General features: G+C 46.5%; 1 protein-coding gene across 12 annotated transcripts in view, besides 1 other annotated feature; it reads right to left on the reverse strand.

Moving 5' to 3' along the window:
- Positions 252 to 401: an enhancer, noted in NCBI's record as "active region_3873". NCBI's record gives its function as "activates an Ori minimal core promoter by ATAC-STARR-seq in GM12878 lymphoblastoid cells {active_cell/tissue: GM12878}" and the evidence as "EXISTENCE:reporter gene assay evidence [ECO:0000049][PMID:35858748]".
- The window catches only part of DNMBP (dynamin binding protein), a 134,377-nt gene continuing 125,445 nt past the window's right edge, over positions 5,510 to 14,441 (reverse strand). For 9 of the 12 annotated variants that reach the window (NM_001441288.1, NM_015221.4, NM_001441287.1 and 6 more), the window contains 3 exons: positions 13,950 to 14,148; positions 9,750 to 10,300; positions 5,516 to 7,275 (listed from right to left, as the gene is read on the reverse strand). In NM_001441288.1, the coding sequence (NP_001428217.1) occupies positions 7,090 to 7,275; positions 9,750 to 10,300; positions 13,950 to 14,148 (936 nt within the window). In that variant the 3' untranslated portion in view covers positions 5,516 to 7,089. Of the gene's footprint in view, positions 7,276 to 9,749; positions 10,301 to 11,041; positions 11,140 to 13,949; positions 14,149 to 14,441 lie in introns of all 12 variants that reach the window. The other 3 variants (NR_199816.1, NR_199817.1, XM_047424910.1) reach the window with 2 other exon arrangements.

A 14,441-nucleotide genomic window follows, 5' to 3' on the forward strand; every position in this document is an offset into this window, starting at 1 on the left:
TTCAATGTCTGCCCAAACACCCACCCAGTTTTGTGTTTGAAACCTAGGGCCCTGATGGTGTTATCACATGAGGGAATCTCCTGATCTGCAGATTACAAAAACCAAGGGAAAAGGGTAGTATCCGGGCTGGGTAGCACAGTCCCTCACGGCTTCCCTTGGCTGGGGGAGGGAGGTCCCCTGGCTCCTTGAGTTTCTGGGGTGAAGCGACGCCCCACTCTGCTTCTGCTCACCCTCCATGGGTTGTACCCACAGCCTAACCCCCGTGAGATGAACTGGGTATCTCAGTTGTAAATGCAGAAATCGCCCGCCTTCTGCATTGGTCTCACTGGGAGCTGCAGACCAGAGCTCTTCCTATTCTATCTTGGCCCCTCCCCTCTTTCTTGTCTTTTTTTATAAAAGCCATTTTAACTGTGGTGAGATGATATCTCATTGTGGTTTCAATTTGCATTTATCTGGTTAGTGATATTGAGCTTTTTTTTTTTTTTCTTTTAAGACAAGGTCTCACTCTTACTCAGACTGGAGTATAGTAGCTCAATTATAGCTCACTGCAGCGTCAGCCTCCTGGGCTCAAGCCAGAAGCCTCCCACCTCAGCCTCCCAAGTAGCTGGGACCACAGACAGGCAGGCACCACCACTCCCAGCTAATTATTATTATTTTTGGCAGAGGTGGGTTCTCTCTATGTTGCCCAGGCTGGTCTTGAACTCCTGGGCTAAAGCAGTCCTCCCACCTCAGCCTCACGCAGTGCTGGGATTATAGGTGTGAGCTAACAGGCCTGGTCCCTTTGCCCAATTTTAAATTGGGTGTTTATTTTCTTTTCAATGAGTTATAAGACTTCTTTATATATTCCGGATACAATTCTCTTATCAGACGTATGAGTTGAAATATATTTTTCTTATTCTGTGGGTTGTCTTTTCACTTTGATAGTGTGTTTCTTGTTTTGTTTGGTTGTTTTTAGATGGGGTCTTGCTCTGTCACCCAGGCTGGAGTGCAGTGGCACAATCATGGCTCACTGCAGTTGCTACGTCCTGGGCTCAAGCAATCCTCCCACCTCAGCTTCCCAAGTAGCTGGGACTACACCACCATGCCTGGCTAATTGAAAAAAATTTTTTGTAGAGACGAGTTCTACCTGTGTTGCCCAGGCTGGTCTCAGATTCCTGGGCTCAAGAAATCCTGCCTTGGCCTCCCAAGGTGCTGCGGTTATAGGTGTGAGCCATCATGCCTGGCCAATGGCATTATAAGCACAAAAGTTTTCCATTTTGATGAGGTCTAATTTATCTGGTTTTTTTTTTTTTTTGGTCACTTTTGTTGTCATTTGAAGAAACTAAAGCCTAATCCAAGGTTGTGAGAACTTTTTCCCATTTTAAGAATTGTGTAGTTCTAACTCTTACATTTAGGTCTATGCTCCATTTGGAGTGAATTTTCGTGTGTGGTTTAGGAAGCGGTCTAACTTCATTCTCCTGCATGTGGATATCCAGTTGTCCTGGCACCATCTGTGCAAAAGATGGTTGTTTCCCCATTAAGTTGTTCTGACACCTTGGTCAATTCATATTTGACAATACATGTAAAGGTTTATTTTTATGTTTTTTGAGACGAGGTCTCACGCTGTCACCAGGCTGGAGTGCAGTAGCATGTTCACTGTTCACTGCAGCCCCAACCTCCCAGGCTCAAATAATCTTCCTACTTCGCCTCTCAAGTAGCTGGAATTACAGGTGTGCACCACCATGCCCAACTAAGTTTTGTATTTTTGTAGAAATGGAATTTCACCATGTTGCCTAGGTTGGTCTCGAATTCTGGGCTCAAGCAATCCTTCTACCTCAGCCTCACAAAGTGTTGGGGTTATAGGTGTGACCTGCTGTGCCTGGCCAAAGTTTTAGACCCTCAATCTATGTCTATCTTATGTCAGTCTCACATAGTCTTACTTATTGTAGTTTTATATCTTGTTCCTTTTTTCAAGATTGTTTTGGCTACTCTGGGTCCCTTGCGTTTCCATATGAATTTTAGGATCAGTGTGCGAATCTTCTTAACTTGGAGCAGATGCTATAGAAGACTCCCAATAGTGAACTGAGGACCAAAATTATCCAGAAGCCTCTACATGGTGAAGGAAAGATTAGGGAACCAGGCAGGTTATTTACTGGTACTAGGTGTATTTTGGAAATTTCCTAAAGAGTTGTTACCTCTGGGGGTGAGGGTACTCCCTACTGCCATGCAGGCCTCAATTTCCAAATGGTTCAGTCAAAAGACTGGATTTAGAGGATTAGAATTCCAAGAAATCCAAAGGTTCAGGAACAGAGGCAGCCAGGGCAGGACTCCAGACAGCTCTATGTAGACCAGGCCCTGGAGGAGAGTTGAAGGTTATGTGTTGTTTCCACATTGACCTAAAGCAATGGAGACTGGCTTAGACTCTTACTGCTATTCAATCCTTCCTTTAAAGGGCCAGTGTCCTCTTTTGATGAAGGCTCCCACAGAACTGACTAGGAAGGGCCATTCAATGGCTTAGGGCCAAAGTCCTTTTGGTTGTACACATGAGCTGGTGTGTTCTCAAGTGGGTATATAGCAAAGGGTTAAATACATGAGCTTTGCTCTCAGGGCTGGGATTGAAATCTGAGTCTTACTATTTCTATCTGGGTAAACCTGGTTGAGTTTCTTATCCTCTGAGCATGAGTCATTCTGTTTTTGAGACGGTCTCACTCTGCTGTCCAGGCTGGAGTGCAGTGGTGTGATCACGGCTTCCTGCAGCCTCAACCTGCTGGGCTCTGAGCATCAGTTTTGTTACTTCTACACACCTTGTAGTGTTCTTTTGTTGGGCGGGGGTAGGGGGTGACATAGGATAATGCAGGGTAAGCCTTGGCACAGTGCGTGGCTCAGTGAGTGGAAGATGCTATTTTGGACAGAACCCTGAGCTTCCCAGAAAGCTTACAGACTCTCTTGAGGACATTGTGTGCCATGGGATGTTCCTTGGAACCAAGGCACTCATATTAGCATCATATATAATACAAAATAACTAAGTAGAAACGTCTGGCCATTCCCTCATATTCTGAGAGTCTTCTGTTTGTTTGCACTGTGTGGCCATGAGGCCTTTGTTCTGGTGTGATGATGCTGGCACTTGGGGTAGATGCCAGTGCAAGAACTCAGTCATTTGACTTAAAAAGGGGAGTAGGGGACAGGGAGGAAGAGGGGAAAGCTCGGCAGTAGAAAAATGGGCGGAGAGGAATATTGAGGGAGAGTTGGACTGATGCCGGAAGAAGTAGAAGTCTTGTGTCGATGTTGAAAAGCAATATTTCCAGAAAGTTCTGCCTTAGATGTCATAGGTGGGGTTGTCGTCTTTCATACCCACAAGAAATCTTCCGTAAAGGTCTGTACTACTCTTCATGGCTTTGAAGTAGGTTTTGTGCTTTAAGAAAGTGTTCTGGATGCATAGAGATGTTGAGATAGGACAGTAAGGCAAGAGGACAGTGGCTGAATCTTTTTCTTACCTATATCTGATGTGATTCCTTCACGCTAACCTCCTGCTGGATCTGCAGAGCTGGAAGGGTAATTTGACGGTGGGTGCTTTGGGTGGAGAGGGTGCTGTGGGAGCAGTGGGTACAAGCTGGTAACAACCAGCTCCTACAAGACACAAACTCCATCCAGGACTGTATTTCCGGGTTCTTCTTCCTCGTGGCTTGAATCAAGAGGGGAACATAAGGGGTCAATGATTTGACCCACAGTGAACTCAGTAGTAAGCACCAAGCCTGCTGAAATGCTTTGCATGTATTTTTTCCCCTTTCCGGCTGGATGGTCCATTGGCACCCATCACTTCTCTGCTGTCTCCTAAGCTAGAAACCTGGGATCCATATATCCTAGATACATAGATAGGTTATCTAGAATAGTAAGGGCTTGTAATCCTAGGCCCTTACTACTCCTCTATCAAGAATGGGCAGGTGTGTTGCCTTGAGCAAATGTTAGTCACATGAGTGTCCACAGTGGTCTCAGGCATTCTCGTGAAGCTTCTATGCTACAGGCAGGCCTGGGGGCAAGTGTGCAGCTACCAGCCTGGAGTCTGGGGCTGTGAGGACCTGCTGGGCACTGGGTTTTACTGGGGTAGTGCTGAGGTCCAAGGTTGAATCTGGGACTCGCTTCCCTCTCTTCCCCCCATGCAGAGGGTGTTCCGATGTGTGCTGCGCTGCCTGCGGCTGAGGGAGGGGTTGGCACAGGTCCTGTGAACATGTCCTCCCTGCCCTCTCCAATGCATCTTTTCTTAATATTTGCATGCAACACCCAGGTGCTGTCATCTCTCACATGGTTTTCTTAGCGCTTAGGGTATTTTCATGCACAGATAGTTTAAGATGTTTCCATGGGGGGACAAGCACTGAAAGTCCTCCTCCAGTATCTCGCAGCTGTCCTGTTGCAGCATGGTGCATGTATTAACTCACGGAATCTTCCTATCAACTCTACAAGGTGGATGCTATTACTATCTCTACCTCAACCAGGGAACTGAGACAGAGGTGGGTACGTTGCCAAGGTCACAAAGCTGCCAAGTGTCAGAAGCCAGACAGTCTGGCTCCAGAACAAGGTGTACAGACTCAGCCTGAGCCTGCAGGCCCGAGTTTCAATTCACAACCCCTCAAAAACTTGATATATGACTTGGGTGAGTACGAATGTCTCTGGACCCCATTTTCCTAGTCTATCACATGAGAGTAGCATAGGTGACTTATCAGCTGCTTTCCTGCAGCCTACCCAATTCAGTGATTTCTATTCCTTAACAACACTGGGTGATCGCTTTACTGTCACCCACCATACTGTCCTCAATCCCACCTCTGCCACTAGCCCTGCCACTTCCTTCCCTGCCCCCAACTGCCTGAGCTGCTGCTCCGTGACCTTGTTAGATAACCTTGTGTATCAGTGTCCACATCTGCAATATCAGGGAAATACTTATCCCCTAGAGATCCCAGCTCTTCTGTTTCGTTAGAATTTCACAGGACAAGATGAAAATAGAGGCAGTCACCTGCAGCATGGACATATTTTGAGTATACAGAGATTTTTTTTTTTTTTTTTTTTGAGACAGGGTCTTGCTATCGCCCGGGCTAGGGTACAGTGGTGTGATCTTGGCTCACTGCAACCTCTGCCACCCAGGTTCAAGCAATTCTCAGCCACTTGATTAGCCAGGACTATTGGCATGCAGCACCATGCCCGGCTAATTTTTGTATTTTCAGTAGGGATGGGGTTTCACCATGTTGGCCAGGCTGGTCTCAAACTCTTGGCCTCAAGTGATCCGCCCACCTTGGCCTCCCAAAGTGCTGGTGGGATTACAGGTGTGAGCCACCACACTCGGCCTGAGTATATAGAGATTGTTGGAATCTTTGACAGAATGACTTTGGGCCTGCATTTCTTCAGTTAGCCTCTCCCATTCTCCCAGATCTGGACATCACTCATTGTCAAGAAGGCCTCCCCAGAAGCCCAGGAAAAACGTTCAGCTTAAACAAACAAACAAAAAAACCCGTTCAGCTTAAACATGGAAATCAAGAAAACATCCAAGGCCATTAGAAATGCTTTTATTTATAAAAGAACTACTTAAATATAAACATCTCTACATAGAAACACTCTTCACAAAAGGACTCTTGCATTACTGCCTTCTGACCACGACCAGCAGACACTGTGGATGTTAGGACTCCACGGTGTCTCCCGACTCCCAGGATTTTAAGGCTAAATGTGCACTTGGAGGAACAGGGGCTGTAAGGCTATTTCTTCCCTTTCTTTTAAAAGACAAATTTCATGGTTTCCCATTCCAAGATAGGCTTCATAGCTGGGGAAGATCTTAAGATTCTTGGTCTAAGGGGTAAGCAAATATCTTCCTGAGACTGGGAGGTATGATCAGGCACTTGGGAATCTGGCTTTGAATGTCATCTCTGAAGCATGGAAGTTAGTGGTGAAAAAAATCTTATTTCCAAGTCTAGGATAAGCTACTTCTGGAATGGCTTATCCCAATTCAAGTAAGTCACAGGTGTTATGTTGTCTGCATCTATGGATGTAACTAAACAGTCATTAGGGTGCTTGGATGAAGAAGAAAGACATCCAGTCTTCCATTAGGCTCAACTGGTTTCAGCTCAAAGCAGAACTAATACTTTTAATGGAATGGCTGGAGCTCTCATACTGTTACTCTAGGAAAATCTATCAATTATTGAGTCCAGGGCAGGGGGGCCACCAGACATCACAGACTGTGTAAAGACCATCAGAAAGGTGTCATTGAGGTTGCGGTATGGTGGCTTACACCTGTAATCTCAGCAGGGAGGCGGGAGGGTTGCTTGAGCCCAGGCGTTTAAGACCAGCCTGGGCAACATAGCAAGACCCCATCTCAAAAAAAAAAGCGGGGGGGCAGTGATTGTACCTAACAAGGGAAGAGAATCTTTCAGATGAAGGGTCAACAGAAAATAAAGACCCTAAACACTTCTAAAAGTAGAACGCAGTTGAATTTTGCATAACTAATCTGGGAATGGAGTAAAAGAAACAAGGTTACAGAATGTAGTGCTTTAGGGACTTTAGAAATTAGGGGCAGTATGTATGAGAATGTGTGCTGGACACTGGAGGTGTCCCAGGAGCTTTGAAGCACTAGGTTTGGTTCAATCCCGACAAACTCCCAGCCATGTGCAAGCACTGCCTCACGGGGTGCCCAGAGCCATGAATTCTTTTCATCTGAGTTGGCATCCGGTCAGCTGAGCATGGAACATGGGGCCACCCCAAACGCCGTACAGCACAACCATTACCAACACTGTCTATTGCTAGAGCACAGCTTCCTGCATACATAGGACACTGGGCTTCTGACTGCAAGTTTCTCCTTTCCAAAAGCCAGCTCTAAGACTTGTCTCTCTTCTCATAGTCACTAAGTCATTTGCAAAGCCCCAGGGTCCATTTCAAATTCTAGAGATTCTAGTGAGCATCAAGGTTTACAACCCAATCGAGGAGAACAAGATCTGTGGTGTGCTCCACCATGCCATGGTTAAGCAACGCAGACAGGGCCTGTGTCTCAGGAGCAGGCGCCCTCTCGGTGGGCCGCCAGAACCCTCGGCGGACTGAAAGCAAAGGCAGCAAGGCTGGGTGGCAGGCAACGTGGGCTCAGGTGTACTCGGTTTTGCGGATATAATTGGAGGGAACGTAGCCCTTCTTCCCGTTAACCTCAGCTAACCACCACTCTGTATTTCCTGTAACATCTTTAAACTCGAGGATCTTGAGTTTCTGATTGGCTGACACGCTCAGCTCATTTGGGTTTCGTGCCTTGAAGGTGTAGACAGCAAAATAGACCTGTGTGAGGGAGAGAGAGAAAATGGGAAATTGCTGGGAGCAATGCCATCCAACAGCTTCGTGCGGTGTTGGGGAGGGTTCCACATCCACATGCCCACATGTGGCTACTGAGCCCCTGAAATATGGCCAGTGAGACAGAGGAACTGAATTTTTAATCTTATTTAATTTTAACTAAAATAAATTTAAATAGGTACATACGGATGATGGCTACCATAATAGGGATGATTAAAAGAAAACACCAATTTGGCCGGGCACGGTGGCTCATGCCTGTAATCCCAGCACTCTGGGAGGCTGAGATGGGTGGATCACCTGAAGTTGGGAATTTAAGACCAGCCTGGCCAACATGGTGAAACCCCACCTCTACTAAAAATACAAAAATTAGCCGGGCGTGGTGGCACACACTTCTAATCCCAGCTACTCACGAGGCTGAGACAGGAGAATTGCTCCAACCCAGGATGCAGAGGTTGCAGTGAGCCAAGATCGCGCCACTGGACTCCAGACCCTGGGCGACAGAGTGAGACTCTGTCTTGGAACAAACACCAATTTGGGAGGCTGAGGGCAGATCACTAGAGGTCAGGAGTTTCAGACCAGCTGGTCAACATGGTGTGAAACCCCATTTCTACCAAAAACACGAAAAATAAGCATGATGGTGAACACCTGTGATCCCAGCTACTCCAGAGGTTGTGGCAGGAGAATTGCCTGAACCCAGCAGGCAGAGGTTGCACCACTGCACTCCAGCCTGGGCAACAGAGCAAGACTCCATTTTAAAAAAACTACCTTTTCAGTCTTTTAGAATTGCTTTAAAGGGTGGAAGACGAGCATACTCTTCCATACCTCCAACACAAATTATGAAAAAGAAAAACCAGAAAACCACAACCAACTTCAAAGAAAAGTTGATCTTTAGATGCCACAAACAAAGATCTCATGATCTAATGCCCATGGAAGGGAGGAGCTCAGGGAGGAGGAGAAGCCATGAGGCCCATGGGGGCCAGAGGGAGGGACACGTGCCCCAAGGGCTGGAGCTTTAGGACCTGGTCAGGGACTGGAGCTGAGACTACAACTACATTCCCTGCTCGAACTCAATCTAAGAAAGGTCCTTCTTTTCCCTTTGATGTGTCTATAATAACTGTCTGCTTGGTAGGCCCAGAATGGGGATGTTTGACCCGGGAAGTAGGTAGTAAGAGAAATCACCAGAAAAACGAGCATGCACAAAGCTCGGCTATGGCACTGAGGAATGTGCTATGGGAAGCCTGAACTGAGAAAGTGGGTAAAAACTGGACTCTTAGAATCCAGACAGTGGCAGAGGCAGCACCTCTACAACCCAGGACACGACTGGGCCTTCCCATGAGGGCAAATCCTTCTGGAGATGAGCTCGCAGACAAACCTGACAGTCAACACAGGAAGATGCTCCACTGAAGAGCGAGCAAAGGCAACAAACGGTGCAGCAAAGACTCTGCAGCTGTGAATCTGAAAATGGCTTTAAAGCATACAGGTTAGTTCAAGATATGGCCAGCTGTGGGTGGCTCACGCCTGTAATCCCAGCAAATTGGGAGGCCAAGGCAGGCAGCGAGGTCAGGAGATCGAGACCATCCTGGCCAACATAGGGAAACCCTGTCTCTAATAAAGTAGTCCCAGCTACTCAGGAAGCTGAGGCAGGAGAATCGCTTGAACCTGGGAGGCGGAGGTTGCAGTGAGCTGAGATTGCGCCACTGCACTCCAGCCTGGGCGACAGAGCAAGACTCTGTCTCAAAAAAAAAAAAAAAAACCCAAAACGTTTGAGATACAAAGCCTACAATCAAACTCATAAACGGGAACAGGCCATTACAAAGAGAATAGGAAAAACTGGGGCTGGGCACAATGGCTCACGCCTGTAATCCCAGCACTTTGGGAGGCCGAGGTGGGCGGATCACTTGAGGCCAGCAGTTCCAGACCAGCCTGGCCAACATGGTGAAGACTGTCTCTACTGAAAATACAAAAATTAGCTGGGTGTGTTGGTGTACACCTGTAATCCCAGCTACTCAGGAAGCTGAGGCATGAGAAATGAGAATTGCTTGAACTTGAGAGGTGGAGGTTGCAGTGAGCTGAGATCATGCATTCCCCATCCTGGGTGACAAACTCCTCAAAAAAAAAATAAAGTATGGTTACTTGAATCAAAAACCAAACAAGTGGATTAAATGGATGTTATACAACTGAAGAATTAGTGAACTGGAAGAATAATGAAGTTGTCATTATAGCACCTTTTAAACACCCAGTGACACAGAGGGGTCCAGGAATAGCCTGTGAAGTATCAGCAGGGGAAGGTGCTCAGAAGGCTCTGATGGCAGAGATTCCTTGTGTGCTTGAAAGGTGTGTCTGTGAGCTCATCTCAGATCACCCCTAGGCCTCAGGCAAGCCACTTCTGCCTCACCCCCGCTGGTACCCACAACACATCTGCTGCCGCCTGTGCCACAGTGGCAGGCCTCTTACGCACTCACCTGGTTGCCTTCTGCCTCACTGCCATCTGGCTCTGTACTTCTGTCTTCCGGAGCCTGGGCTGTTCTTGCACATCCTTTGACGAGGTCTTGACTTTGCCCATTTCGTCCTGGTACGGAGTAGCCAACTATTTCTGGATGCCTGAAGTTCCGGTAGCTCCTCGGCGTGGCAGTGGGTTGCTTTACATCTCTAGCTACATCTGCAGAGTCCCCTGACCTTGGCTGGGAGGTGGAGTCTGGGTCTGAAGGGCATCTGGAAGGACTACTCTCTGAATTACTCGGATTTAGGGATGCACTGAGAGTTCCTTGGTCACATTCTTTTGGCGGAGGAGATGCATCTTGAGGCTGCTTCTGGCAAGACCCCGAGGTAAAGGATACAGCCATGCTGCTGGGGTTGAAGGTCAGGGTGCTGCCGCTGTTCTGGCGTGGGAACCTGGGGGAGGAGCTGCCGTGCTCAGACTCTGTGGAGGAGTGGCTACCCACGGAGGCATCGGAGTGGCTGCGGCGAGGATTGTAGGGCTTTAGGAAAGAGCTGTACACGAAGCCTTTGGTGACTACAAAGGAAACAGGAAATATAAACAAGAACTCTTAGCAGAAGGCTGGACAGACAGAGGGAGCATTGAGAGAAAAAAAACTGATCTAGGTTATTCATCTGTAAAATGAAGAGTAAAACAAAAACTCAAAAGCCAGGCCAATAGTGAGAGACACAAAATAAAATGCCTAGTGACAAAGCGGCTTGGAACACTCAGTCCCAGGATGTGATGTGTGTAGGTAGAGATGAAGAGCCGCAGCTGCCTGCCGGTTCATTCATGTTCACAACCTCACAACAGATGCATGCTCAGGAGGCCCATGGCCAACTGAGAAGACAGCAATGAAAACAATCCATGTCTGGGAACCGGCATGGGAAGAGAATGTCATAGGACACTGAGATCATGCCTAAGAGGAAGGCTTGATGAAGCCTATGTTCAAATACAGCAAGTGTGGAAAAGACCGAGTTAAGAACCAGCCTCGGCAGCGCACGGGAGCTCACGCCTGTAATCCTAGCTCTTTGGGAAGCTGAGATGAGAGGATTGCTTGAGCCCAGTTCCCTGGTCAACACAGCGAGACTTCATCTCTATTTGAAACAAAACAAAACAAACTGGGTACAGTGGCTCATACCTGTAATCCAGGCACTTTGGGTGGCTGAGGAGGGCAGATCACCAGAGGTCAGGAGTTCACAACCAGCCTGGCCAACATGGTGAAGCCCCGTCTCTATTAAAAATACGAAAATATTAGCCGGATGTGGTGGTGCGCACCTGTAATCCCAGCTACTCAGGAGGCTAAGGCAGGAGAATCGCTTGAACCCAGGAGCCAGATGTTGCAGTGAGCCAAGACCATGCCATTGCACTCCAACCTGGGCAACAAGAACGAAACTCCGTCTCAAAAAAAAAGCCTCAGCTCAAGAAGCCCCTCCATAGACCTCCCTGCCCTCTTTCCCACCAGGACACGTGAATCCTTTGCTCTGAGAGTCTGGATATACTGGAAGGATGTTCTAACGTAGGAAACTGTTTGTTAGAATATACACGTAACGTGTACTGCACATGGTTCACTTTAATAAATTGCCCAAGATGACCAAGGGGGCTTTCAGCTAAAACTCAAGTATAAATTAGGGATTGCGTGAGCATCCACGTGACAATTTTTCATAACACTGTCAAGGCACAGACCCAGAGTATGTAGCCTCCATGAGAACAATGGCCATTACTCTATTGATCTTTGATGCATTTCCTGTACCTGACAGCTGATCTGAATACTGTGGCTTCCTGCTACCACTTCTCAAGTTTGAGTAGATAAAAACTGAAGGATGGAGCAGTTTCTTAAACAGCTTGGGACTTTAGGTCCATCTGTCTCTGACCCCAGCAGTAGCTGTCACCTGATGTCACCCTAACAGGCTCCATCCTCTGTCCTTCGTGTCCCACTTTTAATCTCTCGTTCTGTGTAAGCAGAAGTGGGGAGAAAAAAAATCCACAAGATGCTTTTAAAGAAACCAAGAAATGTGACATTTTTCAGTTCTGGGTGGTGAATACATAATGTCTGTCTAGATAGGGACCACAATCCCTACCTAAAATGCTTAGGGCCAGATATGTTTTGGAATTCAGATTCTTTTTAATTCTGGGAAGGTAGTCAAGTACCCATACTACATATTTTGTAAAACCCCCCAGCAGGGTCAGCACCCCGTAATCAATTCTGTTAATGAATATTCAGAATGAGATCCTGTCATTTGCGGCCACATGGTTGAACCTGGAGGACACGTTAAGTGAAATGAGCCAGGCGCAGAAAGACAAATACCATATAATCTCATTCACGTGGAATCTAGACAAGTTGATCTCATAGAGGTTGAGAGTAGAATGCTAGATACCAGAGGCTGGGGGTGGTGGAAGGGGAGGTGAGTCTGGGGAGAGGTTGCTCAACAGGTACAAAGTTAGGAGAAATAAGCTCTGGTGTTCTATTGCACAGTAAGGTTACTATAGCTAATGATAATGTATATTTCAAGATGGCTAGAAGCCAAGGATTCTGAATGATATCTCTGCAAAGAAATGACAAGTTTATAGCCTGGGCAACACAGGGAGACTGTCTCTACTAAAATAAAATTAACTGGGCATGGTCACGCATGCCTCTGGTCCCAGCTACTCAGGAGGCCGAGACAGGAGGATTGCTTGAGCCTGGGAGGTGGAGGCTGCAGTGAGCCAAGATTGTGCCCCTACAATCCAGCCTGGGTGACAAAGCTAGACCCTATCTCAAAATTATCGCACCGTACCCCATAGATATGAACAAGTATGTGTCAGTTATAAACTAAAACTTAAAGTATCTCACATAATTGCAAATAGGAAAGTTCTGATGTTTTTGTGTCATTCATGTTGGAGATGTAGTCATCCACCCATGATGTGAGCAACCTCTTGGCTGAATCAGATTGCAATCAAGCATTTAAAAAAAAATAAGGCCAGGTGCCGTGGCTCATGCTTGTAATCCTGGCACTTTGGAAGGTCAAGGCGGGATGGAACACCTGAGGTTAGGAGTTGGAGACCAGCCTGGTCAACATGGTGAAACCCCGTCTCTACAAAAAATACAAACAGTTAGCCAGGTGTGGTGGTGCGTGCTACTTGTGAGGCTGAGGCAGGAGAATCGCTTGAAGGCAGAGGTTGCAGTGAGCTGAGATCGTGCTGCTGCACTCTAGCCTGGGTGACAGAGCTAGACCCTGTCTTAAAAAATAATAAAAATGAAAAATACATACACATGACTATTCACACCAAAAGGATAAGTTACAATTATAAATAGTCTCACATCACCTTCATTCAGGTTTTGGCAAAAGTGTTTTTAGAGCTTTTTGGATTTTGGAAAAAGGGATTACAGATCAGTATTATCCCTTGTACACTTACTTAAATTCTGTAAATCACTCTCCCTCCAAAAAAGTTGTAAGCTGTTTTTAAAGTAATTCCCTAAATAGTCATGAGGTAAAACTGTCATGGGGAGAAGAAAGCAAATGAAATCCCACAGGTTTTTAATTTCCACAAGACAAATTCATGGAAACTGGAAGAGGTGCTGGGTGCGGTGGCTCACACCTATAATCCCAGCATTTTAGGAGGTCCAGGCAGGAGGACGGCTTGAGCCTAGAAGTTGGAGACCAGCCTGGACAACATGGCAAGACGTAATATCTATAAAATTATTAAAAAATTAGCTGGGCATGATGGCATACCTGTAGTCCCAGCTAGGACAGGAGGATCCCTTGAACCCAGGAGTAATAAGCTATGATTGTGCCACTGCACTCCAGCCTGGATAACAGAGCAAGACTGCCACAAAAAAAAAAAAAAAAAAAAAAAAAAAAAATTTGAAAAGAGGGCAGCTTATTTTGTGGCATACTGGGAACAGGCTAAGAAGGAACAGGATTCCGTGAGGCAGGACTTCCTGCCTGTAAGTGCTGTAAGATATGGCAAGAGCTTGCATGATAAGCAACGGTGTCTCCTCTGGAATTTGTCAAAACAAAAAGAGGTTTTGTTTCAGTAATGATCTTCACTCTCTAGAGAAGGTTAAGGTTATTTTTCAGGTTATTTTTCCCCTTAATCAAAGATACTTTTTGCTTTTTTTTCCTGGCCTAGTCCAGATTCGGGTGCAGCCAAAACTACTATTTTTTTTTTCCAGTTACAGTCCTCTGCTGCTTAAAATTCTTACCTCCATTGTCAATCAGCCAGCGGTTCTGGCTGCCCATGGGGTCTTTTTTCTTAATCACACCCACCAGGTCACCTTCCAAAAGTGAGACATCCAAGTCTTGAGCAGCATTGAAGTTCCGTTCTGCCTGGAAGAGTTTTTCAGGGGGATACCTGGCCAGGAGGGAGGCCCGGAGTTCTTCTGACTGTAGCATGTAACTTGGCTGAAAGGTAAGACGTTAACAAAAATCTCTCAGTGGCCACTACCCCAGCAGCCATATTTCATCCCAACATGTGGCCAGTCTCAGAAATGAGGCAGGGACAGTCAGTCACTGCCCATCTCACTCCCATCAGATGTTTTTGTGATGAAGCCAGCCCATGTGGCTAGGTAAAAATCAAGAGCCCTTAGGCAATGTTTGATGCCTTTATAGTTAAGAAAATTTAACACACACCTATTCTTACATTTGTTTTCTTGTGACAAACGTGATTAAAATGCCACTTAAAAAAAATCAAAATA

Source organism: Homo sapiens, chromosome 10 (assembly GCF_000001405.40).
Source record: "Homo sapiens chromosome 10, GRCh38.p14 Primary Assembly".
Taxonomy (NCBI): domain Eukaryota; kingdom Metazoa; phylum Chordata; class Mammalia; order Primates; family Hominidae; genus Homo; species Homo sapiens.